At 43.3% G+C, this 16,994-nt stretch overlaps 1 protein-coding gene and 1 long non-coding RNA gene across 8 annotated transcripts in view, besides 6 other annotated features; one reads left to right on the top strand and one right to left on the bottom strand.

Moving 5' to 3' along the window:
* Nucleotides 1–3,769, bottom strand: part of UST (uronyl 2-sulfotransferase) — a 329,961-nt gene extending 326,192 nt beyond the window's left edge. For all 7 annotated transcript variants that reach the window (XR_001743088.3, XR_007059195.1, NM_005715.3 and 4 more), the window contains exon 1: nucleotides 3,122–3,769. Coding sequence is in view for 5 of the 7 variants with exons in the window: in NM_005715.3 (NP_005706.1) it covers nucleotides 3,122–3,368 (247 nt within the window). In the remaining 2 variants the exon portion in view is untranslated. The remainder of the gene's footprint in view (nucleotides 1–3,121) is intronic.
* Nucleotides 1,631–2,130: an enhancer, noted in NCBI's record as "H3K4me1 hESC enhancer chr6:149069805-149070304 (GRCh37/hg19 assembly coordinates)". NCBI's record gives its function as "activates a minimal SCP1, AML or CMV promoter by ChIP-STARR-seq in primed H9 embryonic stem cells {active_cell/tissue: H9 hESC(primed)}" and the evidence as "EXISTENCE:reporter gene assay evidence [ECO:0000049][PMID:30033119]".
* Nucleotides 2,131–2,632: an enhancer, noted in NCBI's record as "H3K4me1 hESC enhancer chr6:149069303-149069804 (GRCh37/hg19 assembly coordinates)". NCBI's record gives its function as "activates a minimal SCP1, AML or CMV promoter by ChIP-STARR-seq in primed H9 embryonic stem cells {active_cell/tissue: H9 hESC(primed)}" and the evidence as "EXISTENCE:reporter gene assay evidence [ECO:0000049][PMID:30033119]".
* Nucleotides 2,811–2,980: a silencer, noted in NCBI's record as "silent region_17653". NCBI's record gives its function as "represses an Ori minimal core promoter by ATAC-STARR-seq in GM12878 lymphoblastoid cells {active_cell/tissue: GM12878}" and the evidence as "EXISTENCE:reporter gene assay evidence [ECO:0000049][PMID:35858748]".
* Nucleotides 3,281–3,370: a silencer, noted in NCBI's record as "silent region_17652". NCBI's record gives its function as "represses an Ori minimal core promoter by ATAC-STARR-seq in GM12878 lymphoblastoid cells {active_cell/tissue: GM12878}" and the evidence as "EXISTENCE:reporter gene assay evidence [ECO:0000049][PMID:35858748]".
* Nucleotides 3,941–4,020: an enhancer, noted in NCBI's record as "active region_25237". NCBI's record gives its function as "activates an Ori minimal core promoter by ATAC-STARR-seq in GM12878 lymphoblastoid cells {active_cell/tissue: GM12878}" and the evidence as "EXISTENCE:reporter gene assay evidence [ECO:0000049][PMID:35858748]".
* Nucleotides 4,081–4,140: an enhancer, noted in NCBI's record as "active region_25236". NCBI's record gives its function as "activates an Ori minimal core promoter by ATAC-STARR-seq in GM12878 lymphoblastoid cells {active_cell/tissue: GM12878}" and the evidence as "EXISTENCE:reporter gene assay evidence [ECO:0000049][PMID:35858748]".
* Nucleotides 5,200–14,928, top strand: LOC124901425 (uncharacterized). The gene is made up of 2 exons (XR_007059806.1): nucleotides 5,200–6,815; nucleotides 14,736–14,928. It is a non-coding gene; the product is annotated as an uncharacterized LOC124901425 (long non-coding RNA).
* The last annotated feature ends 2,066 nt before the right edge of the window (nucleotides 14,929–16,994 follow it).

Here is a 16,994-nt window from a genome sequence, read left to right as displayed (position 1 = left end):
ACATAGTGGGGATTAATACGGAAAGGTAGAGTTAAAGCAAACCAGCTGCTTGAATTATTTCCCTTCTCTGCTGGCTCCTCAAGATACTCAGAGTACAAGTATCAAGAAAAGGAAAGTGGAATTATGGATGTAAATGTGATGGATCGTTTTTAGCCAGTCCCGATCTTTAGATTCCCATTTGCATCTTGGCTGTCCTTCCATTTTCTCCCTTAAACTGCCCATAGTGCTATGCAATGGGTATTGCAATCAGACAGACATGGGTTGAAGTCCTGCCTCGCTTGCTATGTGTCCTTCATAACTCTTTGCCCTCATTTTTTCCATACAGAAAATGGAAATAACAATAGAACCTACCGACAGTGTTGCTGTGCAGATTGAATGTCACCCTGTGTATGCACTGACTGGCACATGCGTGATAAATACTAGCTTTTACTATGAATGCTACTGTCTCTTGGCTTTCCTATGAGAATATTCAGTACGTTAAATATCACACTACCTGTTTGATACAACAGGTTGGGTCATTAATTCAACCAATATTTATTGAGTGGCCATTGTGTGTCAGACATAGAATATTGTATAAGTATACTGAAATAATACTCTGTAAAGAAAAGTGTTTGATATAAACATATTTTGATTTGGAAAATTTTTACTTTACATGAACTTACATTTACGAAAAATACTTGCTGCCAAAATTGGCTGAGGAAATTGAGAGGATGTGTTTACTAACCACAAGTTTTGTTTTGACAGACACTAAAATAAAAGAATGGAGGAAAACAGGGGAAAGTAATTCTGCAGACACAGTGGCCTTATATTATTAAAGGTATATTTTAGACCATCCAAAATACCACAAGCCCACTTTTCCCAAAAATCATTATATTTACGTAACAGGGAACAAATTTGGCCAAGGGTATTCTATTTTCAGTTCACAATGATGTCATTTTGAACCTATCACATCAGTCAGAAATATAATGATCAGCTAGTAACAGGAGCAGCATTCAATCTTTCAGTTCTTCCTAGTTTCCTGAGCAGAAGCTGAGAATTCACCCTTCTACCAACTGACCACCCAAATTTATTAGGCCTCATTGTTTGGAAATATAAAGTGAAAATGTTAATGCAATATATGTTGAAATGTCTTGATTTTATCCTCAGTAGTACCTTTGCTCCTTCCTCCTCCCAGAATTTCCCTTCCTCAAGAAAGGTGTCAGAACCCCAAAACTTTAGGAGCTGGGTGGAGGTTTCATTGACAGTCAGGTGTGGCTTCTAATTCTGCCATGAAACACCAGGCCTATGAAGTCTGAGTACCCTACACGAGGCCAGGTGCTTTGAGGACAATGAGCACAGATGACTTCCATCCTGGTCCATTACACTTTTCCCTACACCCCTGGCCTCCATCTATTACTTAAAAAGAACTTCCACAAGAATTCACTGTCAGATTTAATGGAGAAAGACCCTGAGCCTCAACGCTTGCCTCCCAATGCCTGTTAACAGGGATTGCTGCTGGTGATGAAAATACTGTTAACTTTTGTGGCACTAGCAGGTGTCAGAGAGTGGAGGAAGCTATGAGACTCCACAATACAGAACTTATGAAAAGAAGAGGTTTGATTCCCTAATAAAGGATATATTGCCCCAAATCCTCTATGAAACCAAATGCTATGGAAATCTACTTGGGCCAACTTTTCCTGTAATCTGTAGTTCCCCAAAGTTTATAAAGAAATAAAAGTGTAACTTTTAAAATATGAGGTCTTGTACAAGGTAAAGAATATTATTTTATCCACATCTACATTTCCAAATGCCCTAACACATTTGTAACTTGGCTGATGTGGTTTTGTTTTTGTTTTGCTTTGTTTTGTTTGTTTGTTTTGGGTTTTTTTTTTTTCCTTTTCTTTTCTCTTTTCTCCAAACGGTCTACTATCTAGACCTGTGGCTTCTGCCACGAAGTGACGTTTGGGGTAACTGTGGCAGCCTCCAGCTGGCCCGGGTCATTTGGCCCATTTTCTTTCCAGCACTTCGGTGGCTCTGCTTCCCCGCACTCGCTCTCATCGTGCAGATGCTCAGGCTTATCACTTCGGATGCTTGCAAGAAGCTGGAGCTCTCCCAGCCTTCACCCCCGCACGACCTCTTCTGGCCACAGACTTGGGAGGGATCTGCATCCTCCCTTGGCTCGAACGCGAGTGCCAGCATCGTCCTTGCGACCTGGGCTTGCGCTCGCCTGTCCCTGGCACCCCTGGCTCCCGCAGCCGAGACGAGGGAGCTGCGGGGTCACGCCTTCTCGCTGGAGCGGCTCTTTCCCTCCCGTCAAACCCCTTCCTTACTTCTGCTAAAGACAGGCGGCCTCTCTCCTAATAAACCACACACACACACACACACACACACACACACACACACACACACACACACACACAAGTTTTGACTTGAGCTTGAGACGCACACAGCGCCGAGGATCCTCGGGTTACTGGGGGCGACACTGCTGGCCAGGCTGACCAGCGCCCTCGGGCATCCCCAAACCCCTGGATGCAACCCGTTCCCCGCGCCAGGCTAGCTGCGGGCGGCGGGGTGGGCAGCGGCAGCCAAGGGACAAGCCAGCCCGGGGACAGCGCGGAGCCACTAGGGCCGGCGGGCAGGCGGGGGATCTGCGGGACAGAATTCTCAGAGCGGACGGTGGCAAAGGGCTAAACCCACCCACACTCCCCGGGGCGCGGGACGGGACTGAACTGCGGTCACTAACAATGCAACGAAGAGGACCTTCCCTTCCCTTCGCCACTCCCCGCGCCGCCAGGCCTGAAGATACACACACTCCGGCACACCCCACACACCCATCCACTCCGCCCCAGTCCGGATCCGGGTGGCGGAGGTGGGGCGGGGGGAAGGTGAGCGGTGCCTCGCCCCGGGGTACCTGCCGGCAGCGCAACCCAGCGGCGCCCCCGCCTCGGTGAGGACAGTCGGACGCGCGGGAGGAAGAAGGCGCTCCCGACCGCGGCACAGATGCTCACGGGCTTAGCACCTGGAGAGACCCGGGGCGGCGGCGGCGCGCGGTGGCAGCGCGAGAAGTCCCCGCCGCGACCCTCTCCCCGCCGCACAACTTTGCGCTGTCGGCGCCGCCCTAGCGCCTGCCCAGCTTCCTTACCCAAGTACTGCCGCAGGTCGAGCAGGAAGCGAGGGGGTCCCCCGCTGAGCTGATAGAGGAGGGAGCCCAGGCAGAAGACCAGCAGGGTGGCCATGCAGAAGCCGTAGTCCCGGAGGGAGAAGCGCAGGAAAGGCAGCAGGGGCACCCGACGCTTCCAGCTGCCCAGGCCCGGAGGGGCGCCCCCCATAGGGGCCCCATGGGGCCAGGGATCCGCGCCGCCGCCGGGATGCTGCTGCTTCTTCTTCATCGCCTGCTCCGCTGCCTCCCACAGCCTGCCCGTGCCAGGAAAAGGTCACCCATCCGCCGCGAGGAGGAGAGCCCGGCTGGCCGGCTGCACATGGGGAGGGCCGCGCGGAGGGCAGCCGGGTGGGGGCGGGGAGGGGCCGAAGTTGCCGGGCTCAGGAGACTTTCTTCGGCATGGTCCCCGCCGCCGCGGCCCGAGCGGCCGAGGTGTCCGGCCCCGGTTCGGGGCGCTGCCCGTGACGGGGCGCCGCGCCCGTCCGGCGCCCGCTAGCGTCCCCACGCCCCGCGCCCCGCCGCGCCTCGGGCTCGCTTGCGGCCGCCGGGGCTCGCCTCCAGCGCCAGCGTGGACCCCCCGGCTTTGTGTCTGTAGGTCTCGGCGTGTTTTGTCCCGGTTCAGGCTTCTCTAAAAAACGGCAGGGAGGAACAGGAGGCGGACACCATCCCCTCGCTCCACCTCCTTGACAGGGGTTTTCCTCCTTCTCCTCCCCTTTCTCCCTCCGGCGCTCCGCAGCACTCTCCTCCCTCTCCCCTCCCTCTCCGCTCGGGTCTCGGGATTTCGCTCGGGTGTCACGTTACTGCTTCTGCTGGGGGCGGAGGGGGGGAGGCGGCGATTATTCGCAACAAGGAAGAAAGTTTCTGGGTGTTTTCTTTTTTTTTCCTTCCCCCGTTCTTTACAATCTGGATGCGGTTCCTGCGCCACCAGCGACCTCTTGGGGGCCCCGCTGACTTCCCTCTTGTAAACAGTCACCGGCAGGAAGAAGCACGACTGACTTTACTATTTACATTTTTTTCAGTTCAGAAAGTTGATTCTCCTTATATACCCCGTGCGAGCTGCTTACCCAAGGCTGATAAAAGGTACTAGAATACAGGCTCAAGACTTTGCTGAAATGGGAAAAGAGCAAGCGGTGCGAGTTATGGTCAAACACGCCCCAGAGGGCCAGGCGCAGCGCCTGAACTCCCGGGTAGGGTAGCCGAAGAGGACGCTCTGTTCTTGCTTTTCCTGGTCCTACAACTGCTCCACCTCGCAGTGCCCAGAGAGGCAAGTGGGGGGTGCATAGCGGACTCTAGGAGGTCATTGCCCTGCAGACATGAAGGGGAAAGAGCCCAGTCCGCCTATACGCTGATTTCATTGCTGCCTCTCTTCCCTCCACGGGAAAGCCTCTGGACCTGAAAGAACCTCCTGGGGCAGAAAAGGCTCAATCCTAGACATAGATCCTCTGATGGGGTGGTTGATCCACGGAAGGGCTGCTCTGATCAGCCACACTTTAAGTAAGAATACTATATCACTATTTATAGAAGCTGTAGCACCTGAGGGCTGTGTGACTCACCCGAGGTCCCAAAGCTAGTAGTAGGAGTTGGGTTGGGAGTTGCACTCAAATCTATTTGACCCTCAGACCCACTATACTAACCACTGCACAGCAGTACTTCCCAGCCAGAGCCCTTTTCCTTCACGTCCCATAGGAGGATGAGATTTAATTCATTTAGTTCAGGCCACATTGAGAAATGGAAACCTCAGTTTCTGGTGCCTATCATTTCTGGCTCCCTACTCATTTGTATATTCCAGTAATGAACAATTGGATTTAAGAAGGAACCAGGAGCCAAGAACCTCTATGATTCTAAGACTAGGCTCCTGAAAACCTTCATCAAGTTAGGCATCTGAAGAATATTCTGTGGAAAATTACAAAATATTATCCTAGACAAAGAACTTACTCGTTAAGAATATGTCTTAACCTCAGCTACTCAGGAGGCTGAGGCAGGAGAATCGTGTGAACCCGGGAGGCGGAGGTTGCAGTGAGTCGAGATCGCGCCATTGCACTCCAGCCTGGGCGACAGTGCGAGACACCGTCTCAAAAAAAAAAAAAAAGAAAGAAAAGAAAAGAAAGAAAGAAAGAATGAATATGTCTTAACCATGTTCATATATGAATGTCTCTGGTTCATGATTTGAAACATATATCATGAGCTAGAGAGATGTGTAGATGAGGTGACAGGTGCTGCACACACACAGAGACACACGTACACACACACAACTCTACTGTCCAATTTTACATTGTCCTAGCCCACTTTCTAAGGGATGAGAAGGCTGTTTTGGGGCCCCAAGAGAAAAGAAAATATTTTGTTCTGTGACAGAAAACCCTGAATAGAGTGTTAATCATTTGCTTTACATTTATCTCATGAATCAGGGTTTTATTTGGATTAATATGCACATTTTAGAAATGTGACTTCCCCTAAGAGAATTGAGTAGATCAGTCATTGCCCATTAATGTGAATTACTTTAATCAGTACAATGAGTAGCCCAGAACAGACTCCCAATTAATAACGTTTGAGCTTAAGAAGAGGGACTAGGAGACAGAAGGAGCAAAGCAGTGTTCATAATGTTTCAGGGACCGCCTTCCACAAACTGGACCTGTATCTGAGGCCTGGCCCTGTAATCTGAACACTCGCTGGATATAAAATAGTGTGCAAGACCCTCTGTGTTCACAAGTCCCACCCCCAGGAAGTTCAGAGACTTTTCTCACAGCATGCTGTGGGAAATACCCCAATTTTTTCTCCTAAGGAAAGGAATCTGAGGAACAGGGAGATGGAGCAGGAAGAAAGGAAACAAACATTTGAGAAAATAAGTAAATATGAGAATAAATGTTGTTTTAAAAAACGATGAAAAAGTTGCAAGGAAAGTACAAGGGGGCAAAGTCCAGCTTAGAAGAAACAAGCTATGACATGAACTATTTCAGAGAGAATAAACAGGTCAATCTTTAAAAGATTGTGTTAATAGACTCGCCGCCTAAAAAAACTCACAGAAGAAAAAGAAGAGATATCAAGATACAAAGAAGTTTCACATGGAAAAAAATGCTTTATATTTTCACCCAACAAAAACTTAGTTGTTTGGGTAAAACTTTGTTCTTTGAAGTCCCATAAATATCCCTTCAGAAAAAAAAATTAAATTTAAAGTACTTAGACTAATTAATGGTATCTTTATTCAAAGCAGATAACAAATCTAATTAGAGGAAGTTGTGAACGAATTTTATTATTAGTCTTATAATGAAATATACTTTATTCAGCACCTTGACCTCCATTCAATATCTTTAGCTTCTCAATTCCTTCTCTCTCCAGTGACTCATTTGACCTTGTCCTCACTGATGACTAATTGCATCTCCGAAATCTCCTTTTCCCCCTTCACAACCTTCTATCCTTCTGTTTGGCTTCTTTGGAGCCCACCCTGTTTTTCGGTCTTTTCAAGAACTGTCAAGTCTGTGTTCATCCATCTCATGTGTTTACTTCTTTCTTTATCCAGTTTTGATTCCTGATCCATCATTCTGATCTCCTTCTTGCAAACACCCCTTCATTCCCCCTGTTTCTCTCATCTTATATCCTACAGTGCTTGTCTGGTGAAACCCAGGCTCAGTTAAACCCAACCATGCAACTGGACTGGATTGCAGAAAAACACACAGCGCTGGTAAGTGGCTTTTCTTTAAATTAGAGAGCACAGATTTCAGACAGATGCACACCCATGGCTGCCCAGCAATCCCACTCACTAAAAGGACTATTCCATAGTGTCTTTCTCTTCAAACCTCCCATCTCCACCCTCTGCTTTCTTCCCTTCAGTCTCAGGGGATGACCTGGATCAGCCTTTGTTGAGAAAATAGAAGCAGTAGGATGAGAGCTCACTCATTTCCTACCAATCTGTGCCCCGTGCTCTTGGCCTCCCTCCCTGTTTCATCGTGTTCCTGCTTCTATCAAGGCCATGCTGCCACGTGTGCCCTAGACTGCCGTTCCCACCAACCCCAGTCCCACACCCAAGCCTGCCCCCTCCATAGCCTTCTGCATCTCTGTAAATCATTACACTCTCAAGTCACTTGGGCCCCAAACCAGAAGTCTTAGTTTTTCTATTAATAGTTCATTCATTCTTGTATCTAAACCATCTGCAAATCCTATAGGATTCAAAAAAAAGTCCAGTATCTGACATCCTTTGCCACCCCCCCGGGCCAAACCACTGTCTTCTCTCACCTGGATTGTTGCAAAGGCTACTTATATTCATCATGTTTCAGTTTAGCTACATAGAGCTGGAAAAAAAAAACCGCAAATTTAAAAACCAGTGGCTTAAACAGAAAAGAACTTTATTTTTTTTTCTCTCTCTCTTTTTTTTTCCTTTTTGAAACAGAGTCTCCCTCTTTTGCCCAGGCTGGAGTTCAGCCACGCAATCTCAGCTCGCTGCAACCTCCTTCTCCGGGGTTCAAGTGATTCTCCTGCCTCAGCCTCCCAAGTAGCTGGGATTACAAGCGTGTACTACCACACCTGGCTAATTTTTGTATTTTTAGTAGAGACGGGGTTTCATCAAGTTGGCCAGGCTGGTCTCGAACTCCTGACCTCAAATGATCCACCCACCTCGGCCTCCCAAAGTGCTAGGATTACAGGCATGAGCTACCATGCCTGGCCCATTTCTCTCTCATGTGAAACGAGTCCAGAAATAGGCCGTCCAGATTTGGTGTGGTATTTCTATGCTATCCTCAGGGACCCACCTGAGCTTTCTGTTCCACCATCCTCAGCATGTGGCTTCCATTTTAAAGGCCGTCTTATGCAATGTAATCAGCATTTCAAAAAGGTATGAAATCTTCATACCTCTTTGATATGTTCATTGCAGCATTGTGCACAATAGCCAAGATATGGAATCAACCTAAGTGTCCATCAATAGATGAATGGATAATACTATTCAGCCTCAAGAAGGAAATCTTGTCATTTGCAATAACACAGGTTAATCTGGAGGATATTATGTTAAAGGAAATAAGCCAGACACAGAAAGACAAATACTACATGATCTCACTTATATGTGAAATCTAAAAAAGGCCATCTCATTGAAGCAGAGAGAGGAATTACAGTTAACAGGGTTTAAGGAGGGAAGGGTAGGGATTGAGGAGATGTTGGTCAAAGGATACAAAATTTCAGCTAGGCAGCAGGAATAAATTCAAGAGTTCTGTAACGTAGTGACTATAGTTAATAACATATCGTATCGTATACTTGAAAAGTGTTAAGAGAATAGATTTTAAGTGTTCTTACCACAAATAAATGATAAGAATGCAGAAGGGGAGAAAAACAAAACAAAACAAAAAGATCTCCTTATGGTTGCAGATGGCTGCTAGAGTTCCAGCTATTATGTCTATGTTCCAGGTTGGCAGCAGAAGGAAGCAAAAGAGCAAAGAACTCCCAACTGAGTAGGCTCTTTTTAAGCAGTGCTCCAAAGTGTGCTATAAATCTACCTTCTTATAGGTCATTGGCCAGAAATTAATCACATGACTCTGTCTAATTGTAAGGGACAGGGGACAGAGAGTATCTAGGAAATCTAGACTTTAGCTGGGTGCGTTGCTGCCACAAATAAGAATCAGGGTTCTATTGCTAAAGAAAGAAAGGGCAGATGGCTACTATGTGGCAATCAGCAATTTCTGTTGTTCCTCCTGACTGGTCTGCCTGCTCCCAGCCTTTCACCCCATATTCCATTCTCCTCAGAGCAGCCAAAATAGCCATTGCTGCTCAAAACTTGCCAGTGGCTTCCAATGCACTCAGAGTAAAAGGCAGCATCCTAGAGTAGCCTCTGAGGTCTTACTCAATCTGGCTCCATTGTTTCTCTGACCTCATCTCTTATCACTTTTCCTGCTCACCCTTACCTATCCTCATTCATCAGACAAGACAAAAACTTGCTCCTCTATTAGGACCTTTGCTTTCACACTTCCCTCTGCCTAGAAAGTTCTTTTCCACACCTCTGCATGGCTTGACTTTTGACTTCCTCCCAGTTTTGCTCAATGTTGCCTTATCAGAGGAGTTTTCTGGGACTACTCTCTATGTAATGCACGTGTGCATCCACATTCCTTATTCTCTTGACCTCTTTAGCTTTCTCCATGGAATGTACCATAATCTGAAATGTTAGTATTTTGTATGTGTTGTATATTTCTCCCCCCTAGAAAACAAGCATCTTGAAGGCTATGATTTTGTCCCATTTGTTTATTGTTTTATCTCCAATACCTAGAATAGTGCTCACAGGTAGTGATCACTCAAGAAATATTTGTTGAATAAAAAGATGAGTTTTTTATAGGAAGAGTCTGATGTTCGGTGAGTCAAATCTCATTGATTCCGTGGTCGGCCAAGTGCGGATGAGACGTGGAGGTCCTAGAAAGTAGGCCTCCGTGCTGCGAGAACATTCAGATAATCATCAAAAGAATTGTTTGCAGTTGAAGATGTATTCACTGAAAGAAAGGGTGAATGAATGAATGAGGCCCTCACCACCTCCGTGACCCCTAATTAGCAATGCAGCTACTCCCTGTGATCATGAACGCCTCATGGAATCATAAAAGAGATGAGTCTATTGGCTTTGCCTGGTGTTGCCATTCCCCTTGGCAGAGAGGCTGCTGCTCTTTAGGACTGCTGTTCATTTCAGGGATTGGGGCCATCAGTCTCTTGGAGAACCAAGCTGTCTGAGCTTTGACCTTGGAAAAGAAAGAGAGAAAGAAAGAAACTGGAGAGTTGCTCTGGTTTGTGGGGCAGAAATGCACTGAAAACCATCTGGGAAGGTAGTGCTTGCCTTTGCCTGAACAGTGTCTCAAAAGCATATCTGACCAGAGTGTATGATCTAGAGGCACATTTGGATGGGAGGATTATAAAAACTGCACTTAGTAGCCAATAAGCTATTGCTTATATTTAAACTCCTATGCAATGACACAACTTTTGAAAACTCAGCTTTTAACTTATGCTTAACAACAACTGTATTTCAAGTCAAAAGTGCACTGCACAACTGGTCCCTGAGACTGGCCAGTGTGACACTATTAGCCACCTAAAGCCTCTTTTGGAAACAGTCTCAGTACTGTCTCTATTTTTCCTGAAGTATAATGGACCATTAGTATAAGCAGAGGGAAAGGAAAAAAAAAAAGTCAAATACTTACCGGTGGCTTTCATGTTATTCTCAGTTGCCTCTTACCCTGCCATGAGTAGAATCTATACAGTTGAATCTCTGACTAACCTTAATTCCTCATTTCCAAGATCCTTGTCAATTTACAATGTTAAGCTAGTGCTCTTCTCATTTTAGAGGTCATTGTCTGGTGTTAATGCATAAACGCTGAAATCGATGTAGAAGTGATATCCTTTTTCCTTCCTTCCTAACAATGTCATTAATCCTTGTTCAATGGGCACATTACATATCTTCCTGTCCTTTTAGAAAAAAAATATTACTCAAGCTTTGCAAAGTACTTTAAAATAATTTTTTGAAGAACAGCCAAATACTAAACTATGACGATAAGAGTCAGCCCTCTAGTGAAGAATCTTAGTAAAGATTCCCAAGGTCATTTTAGTAGAAAAGTTAAGAAAATATTACATTGTGAAGCATAAACTTTCAGCCCTGAAAATTACTAACCTTCTGACCTAGAGTCAATTACTTAATCTCTTTGTGCTTTCATTTTCTCTTCTGTCAAGAATGGATGATAAAGCCCGTACTCCTGGGTTCACAGGGCTCTGGTCTGGTTCAAAAGCGCGCTTACCTGGCTGGGAAACTACATCACCAGCTGGCTGCTTTTCTCTATGGTACTTGCTGTGAAGTGGTCCAAGACATTATTCCACCCAGAGAAATTGGACTGCAGAATGATGGTACTGCAAACTCTTATTTAAAAAGTAGGCTGGGCACGGTGGCTCACGCCTGGAATCCCAGCAGTGTGGGAGGTGGAGGTGGGTGGATCACATGAGATCAGGAGTTCGAGATCAGCCTGGCCAACATGGTGAAATCCTGTGTCTACTAAAAATAGAAAAATTAGCTGGGCATCGTGGCGGGCATCTGTAATCCCAGATACTTGGGAGGCTGAGGCAGAAGAATCGCTTGAACCCAAGAGGTGAAGGTTGGAGTGAACCAAGATCGCACCACTACAGTCCAGCCTGGGTGACAGAACGAGACTGTGTCTAAATAAATAAATAAATAAAATAAAGAGCAGGCAATTTGAAGCATGGGAGAAACATGGGTCTTGATCCACAACTTATATGGGAACAAATGTGATTTGGCAAGTAGCCTGAGTAGATTCTGAGCCTCATTGTCATTACCTGTGAGATACGGTAAAGCACATAGCATCCCGTGATGGGATTAAATATATTTTAAGTGTGGGTACATGTAAGTCAGAATACATGTAAGTCAGATTATTTTTAAAGATAAGAAAACTAGAATCTAAATAAATTACATAATCTGCACAAATTTGCATTATTTGTGACTGACATCACCAGAACTCAAATAGAGATTGCGCAAGTCCATCTCTAAACCTTTTTTTTTTTTTTTTTTTGAGATGGAGTCTCGCTTTGTCACTCAGGCTGGAGTGCAGTGGCGTGATCTTGGGTCACTGCAACCTCCATCTCCCAGGTTCAAGTGATTCTCCTCCCTCAGCTTCCTGAGTACCTGGGATTACAGGCACCTGCCACCATGCCCGGCTATATATATATATATATATATAATATATATAATTATAATGTATTATATATATATTTTATATATAAAATTTTATATACAAAATATATATTTTTATATAATATATATAATATATTATATAATATATTATATAATATATTATATATATAATATATTATATAATATATTATATAATATATTATATATTATATAATATATAATATATATAATATAATATATAATATATTATATAATATATAATATATATAATATTATATGTATGACATATAAAAGATATATTATATATAAAATGTATGACATATAAAAGATATATTATATATAAAATGTATGACATATAAAAGATATATATAAAATGTATGACATATAAAATATATATTATATATAAAATGTATGACATATAAAATATATATTATATATAAAATGTATGACATATAAAATATATATTATATATAAAATGTATGACATATAAAATATATATTATATATAAAATGTATGACATATAAAATATATATTATATATAAAATATATGACATATAAAATATATATTATATATAAAATATATGACATATAAAATATATATTTTATATAAAATATATAGTATATAAAATATATTTTATATATAAAATATATAGTATATAAAATATATTTTATATATAAAATATATAATATAAAATATACAATATATAAAATATATTTTATATATTATATATTATATATAAAATATATTTTATATATAATATATTATATATAAAATATATAATATATAAAATATATATAATATATATAATATATATAATATATTATATATAAAATATATATATATAATATAAAATATATATTTATATATATATATATATTTGTATTTTTAGTGGAGATGGGGTTTCGCCATGTTGGCCAGACTGGTCTCAAAACTCCTGACCTCAGTGATCCACCCACCTCAGCCTCCCCAAGTGTTGAGATTACAGGCGTGAGGCACCGTGCCCGGCCTCTAATACTTTTTCCACAATAAAATGGATTTCATTTTGGCCACTGACCTCCTCTGAGTATTCAACAAACCTATGAACCTACCTCCTAGAAAAATGAATGTATCTTCTGTATATAATTTCAGCACACCCATGGACCTTCTAGGGGTCCATGGACTCAGATTAAGAACCTGAGCACTAAAGGCTGTGGTCTCTCCTGAATATGCCTGAGTGCATTTACTAAAGGAGAATCTAATTTTTTGCCCTTATGTCAGAAGAGAAAAGCAGATTTTATGGTACTAAAGCAGTCTGGAAAAAGTCTTTAAAAGAAGTTGGAAATATAGAATTTTTATTCACACATTCATGGTCTTTAAAATACTCCTGGGGTGCTAAAGAGGTTCCAGAATTGGAGCTGTATTCAGACATACATTCATTCAGCAGATCCTTACTGAGGGCCCAACGTGTGCCTGGCCCGGGATTTGCAGTGGGGCCCAAGACAAGCCCTGCTCCCATGAAATTCACATCCACCGTGAGGGGAGATGGATGGCGAATAAACAAATATATTATGCTAGGTAGTGTTAAGTGTTATTGAGAGAATAAGACAGGGTGATGCGACTAAGAGTGATGGGTTGAAAGGAGCAGTCTACTGCAGACTGCGTGGACAGGGACAACTTCTCTAAGGAGTTGACCTTTGCAATGTGACCTAAAGGATGAGAAGGATCTTCCTGGGGAAGTTCTGGGGCACAAGCATTTCATGCAGAGAAAACATCCATTTAAGGTCTTTCTGCCTCATATCTTCCCTAAAATGGAAATAGACTTGGTATGTGCCACCGTGATGGGAGTGGGTCATTGAGAAAACAGGTGACATGAGATGAGGCTGGAGAGGTGGGTGGTGCCAGTCCCTGTAGGGCTTTGTAGACCAGGGTAGAGAGTTTGGGTTTTATTCAAGGTGAGATGGGAAAGGGTTCAATGATCAACATGAGCTGATTCATGTTTTTAATTCATCACTTAGGGTGCTGTGTAAGGTTGGCTTGTTGGCAGTGAAAGTGGCAGTAGGAAGATGAGTCATCCAGTAAAATGGTGAGGCTGGCTGGGCTCAGGCTGGTAATGGGGAAGACAGAAAGAAGTTAAACTCAGGATGTGTTTTTTTGGAGGTCGAGGGTATAAACTTGTCAACGAAGTGGATGACGGGAAGTGAGAGAAGAACTAAGCTAAGAATGATACCTAAGGTTTTTGTCAGAGCACCTGGAATGATGCTGAAGCTATTTCTCTGTTTCTTGAAATGCAGAAAACTGAAGCAGGAGCAGGCTTGGGAGAGGGACATGGGTGGCCAAAGTAACCAAGAGTTATGATCAACTATGTTAAGTAGGCAACTGGATATATGAATTTGGAGCTCCAGGGAAAGGTCATGGCTAAAGACATAAATTCAGAAGTTATTTCTATCAATGTGGTATATAAAATCACATAATTGAATAAAATTACCTAGAGAAGCATGTAGATGGAAGGAATAAAAGATGGCACAGGACAAAGCCTTCAGGAAGTCCAACATGCAGAGGTCAAACAGAATAAGTTCACCCAGCAAAAGAGATTGAGTGAGTAGGCAGAGGGCCCAGAGGAAAACCAGGAGAGTGTGGTGTCACTGAAGCCAAAAGAACAAAAGTATTCCATGAAGGAGAGAACGATCCTCTGTAACAAATGCTCCTAAGATGTTGTGGCAGAGACTCCTGCTTGTCCTCTGTACCCATTTTCTCCATTTTTCTTTTAGTAATAGAAACCACTGAGCTGTAGCTGGACACAAAGCCACTTACATGGAGACTACATTTCCCAGTCTCTTTTGCAGCTAGGTGTGGCCATGAGGCTGAGCTCAAGTCAGTGGGGTGTGAGAAAAAGGAACTTATGCAATCTGCTATACTTGGCCTTACAATATTGGGTGTGCACGCCACCTTTCTCTTTTCCTGGTTTTCCATAGGCTGGAATGTGGACATGGAAGGGGCTCAGCTTCAATCATGTGCATGAGGACAGTACTCCAAGGAATATCAGAGAAATTGGTGAAAGGAACCTGGGAACCTGAATGCTCTTAAGCAGAGCCATCCATCTGCTGTGGATTGCCTACTGCCATTTGGACTCCCTTGTGAAAGAAATAAATTAAATTCTCTCTACAATCACTGTATTTTGGGGTCTCTATTTTAGCATCATAGCCCACACCATAAATAATTCACCTATCAAGAAAGATGACAGACACTTTAGGAGGCCAAGGTGAGCAGATCACCTGAGGTCAGGAGTTGGAGACCAGCCTGGCCAACATGGCAAAACCCCATCTCTACTAAAAATACAAAAATTAGCCAGGCATGGTGGTGCATGCCTGTAATCCCAGCTACTTGGGAGGCTGAGGCAGGAGAATTGCTTGAACCCAGCAGTGGAGGCTGTAGTGAGCCAAGATCACACCATTGCACTCTGGCCTGGGTGACAGAGCAAGACTCTGTCTCAAAAAAAAAAAAAAAAAAAGAAAAGAAAAAGAAAGAAAAGAAAAGAAGAAAGAAAAAAAGATGACAGAGGAAACACCCTGCAGCCGATTGGTGAGTTTGACAATTTCAGAGGTATGACTGGGATAGGAGTAGACTGAAGAGCTAATCCATTCATTCACTCTTTCATTCATTCCACATATTTATTGAGTTTTCATTCTGTGTCATGCACTGTCCTAGGCTGCGAGATATAGCAGAAAACAACAGAGATAATGCCCTTGTTCTCATGGCACATGTGTTCTAGTGGAGGAGACAAAAAGTAAACACATAAACAGATATCGCATAAACAGGTCAATGTGAAGGCCAGGTAGTGACCTGTGCTAAGAAGAAAATAAAGCTGAGATCATGGAGAGGAAGTGCTACTTTAGAAACAGTGCTCAGGGGAGGAATTTCAGAGAAGGGTACTTTTGAGATAAATTGAATAAATAGAAATTAAAGGGAAAGCTATATGGAAATCCTGGGGAAGAGTACACCAGGAAGAGGGAACAGAAACTGCAGAGTCCCCGAGGCAGGAATTCACTTGCTTAAGGAATAGAAATAAATCGGATGTGCTATAGAGCACAGCACATGAGGTGATCAAAGTGCATGAGGGAGATTAAATTGGAGAGAAAAAAAGATGCCAGATCATCAGAGTCTGAAAACAAGGAAAAGGGGTTTCAATTTTTTTGTAGGTGTGATGGGAAGCATTGAAGTCATCATAGGGGGTTTAACCAGATTTTGCATTTTAAAATACTGATCCTGCTGCTATATTGAATGTGAGGGTAAGGGTGAAATCAGTTGGTTGATTCAAGTTATCCAGGCCAGAGATGATGGTGGTTTGGGCTTGAATAGCAGCGGTGAAGGTGGTGAGAAGTAGTCTGATTTGGGAGAGGATGTGTGTACATGTGTGTGTGTGTTGGAGATGGCTATAGAATGGCTACAGAAACATCTTTGAGATGATCTACTATATAGGGGTGCAGAGAAATGGGCAGCAGCTGGGAAGCTTATAGGGATTTAGGAAGTCTCTCTCTCTGTCTCCTTTCCCCTCTCTCTCTTTTAAAGATAGGAAATACCAGATTTAATGTGGTAATTGGGATGATCCAGTAGAAAGGGATGCATTTGTGGTGCCAGAAAGACAGGTGAAATTTACAGGAAAAGTATGAAGCCACAATTAAGTAGAGGGCTTATAGTCTTTAATATAAGCAAAGACACTTCATTCATCGAAGAAGGCAAGATGTACCAGAAAATTTATTGGTGAGAAAATACAGAAAATTTCATGTGGTGGCATCCATTTAATCAATGAAATGTGCAGCAACTGAGAGTGAAGATTTGGGCAAGAAGAGAGGTAGGAGGTTTCAATAAAGAGAACCCATAGTGGCATGATTATTTCAGAGTGAGAGACATACAACGAAAGTGCATAGGATTGCTGAACAGTTTGAGCTCATTTAAACTTGGTGGTTCTGAATTTCAAGTGAGTCAAGTCAGCACCAGTGCTGTGTTTTCTGGTGGCTCAGTTTGGTGACTTGTGTGTAGATGCTGAGTAGGGGTTTAGTTGTGCTTAGACATGGCTGAAGTTTTATTAGGGAAATGGAGAACATGCCAATAGTGTTAGGGATGCTTGCAAAAGAGCAGTGTGATGTTGGTCCCTGATACGGTTTGGCTGTGTCCCCACCCAAATCTCATCTTGAATTGCATCTTCCACAATTCCGACGTGTTGTGGGAGGGAC

The sequence above is a fragment of the Homo sapiens genome, chromosome 6 (assembly GCF_000001405.40).
Source record: "Homo sapiens chromosome 6, GRCh38.p14 Primary Assembly".
In the NCBI taxonomy this organism is placed as follows: Eukaryota; Metazoa; Chordata; class Mammalia; order Primates; family Hominidae; genus Homo; species Homo sapiens.
Note: the sequence above shows the minus strand (reverse complement) of the source record. Positions and strands in the feature narration are given on the sequence as shown.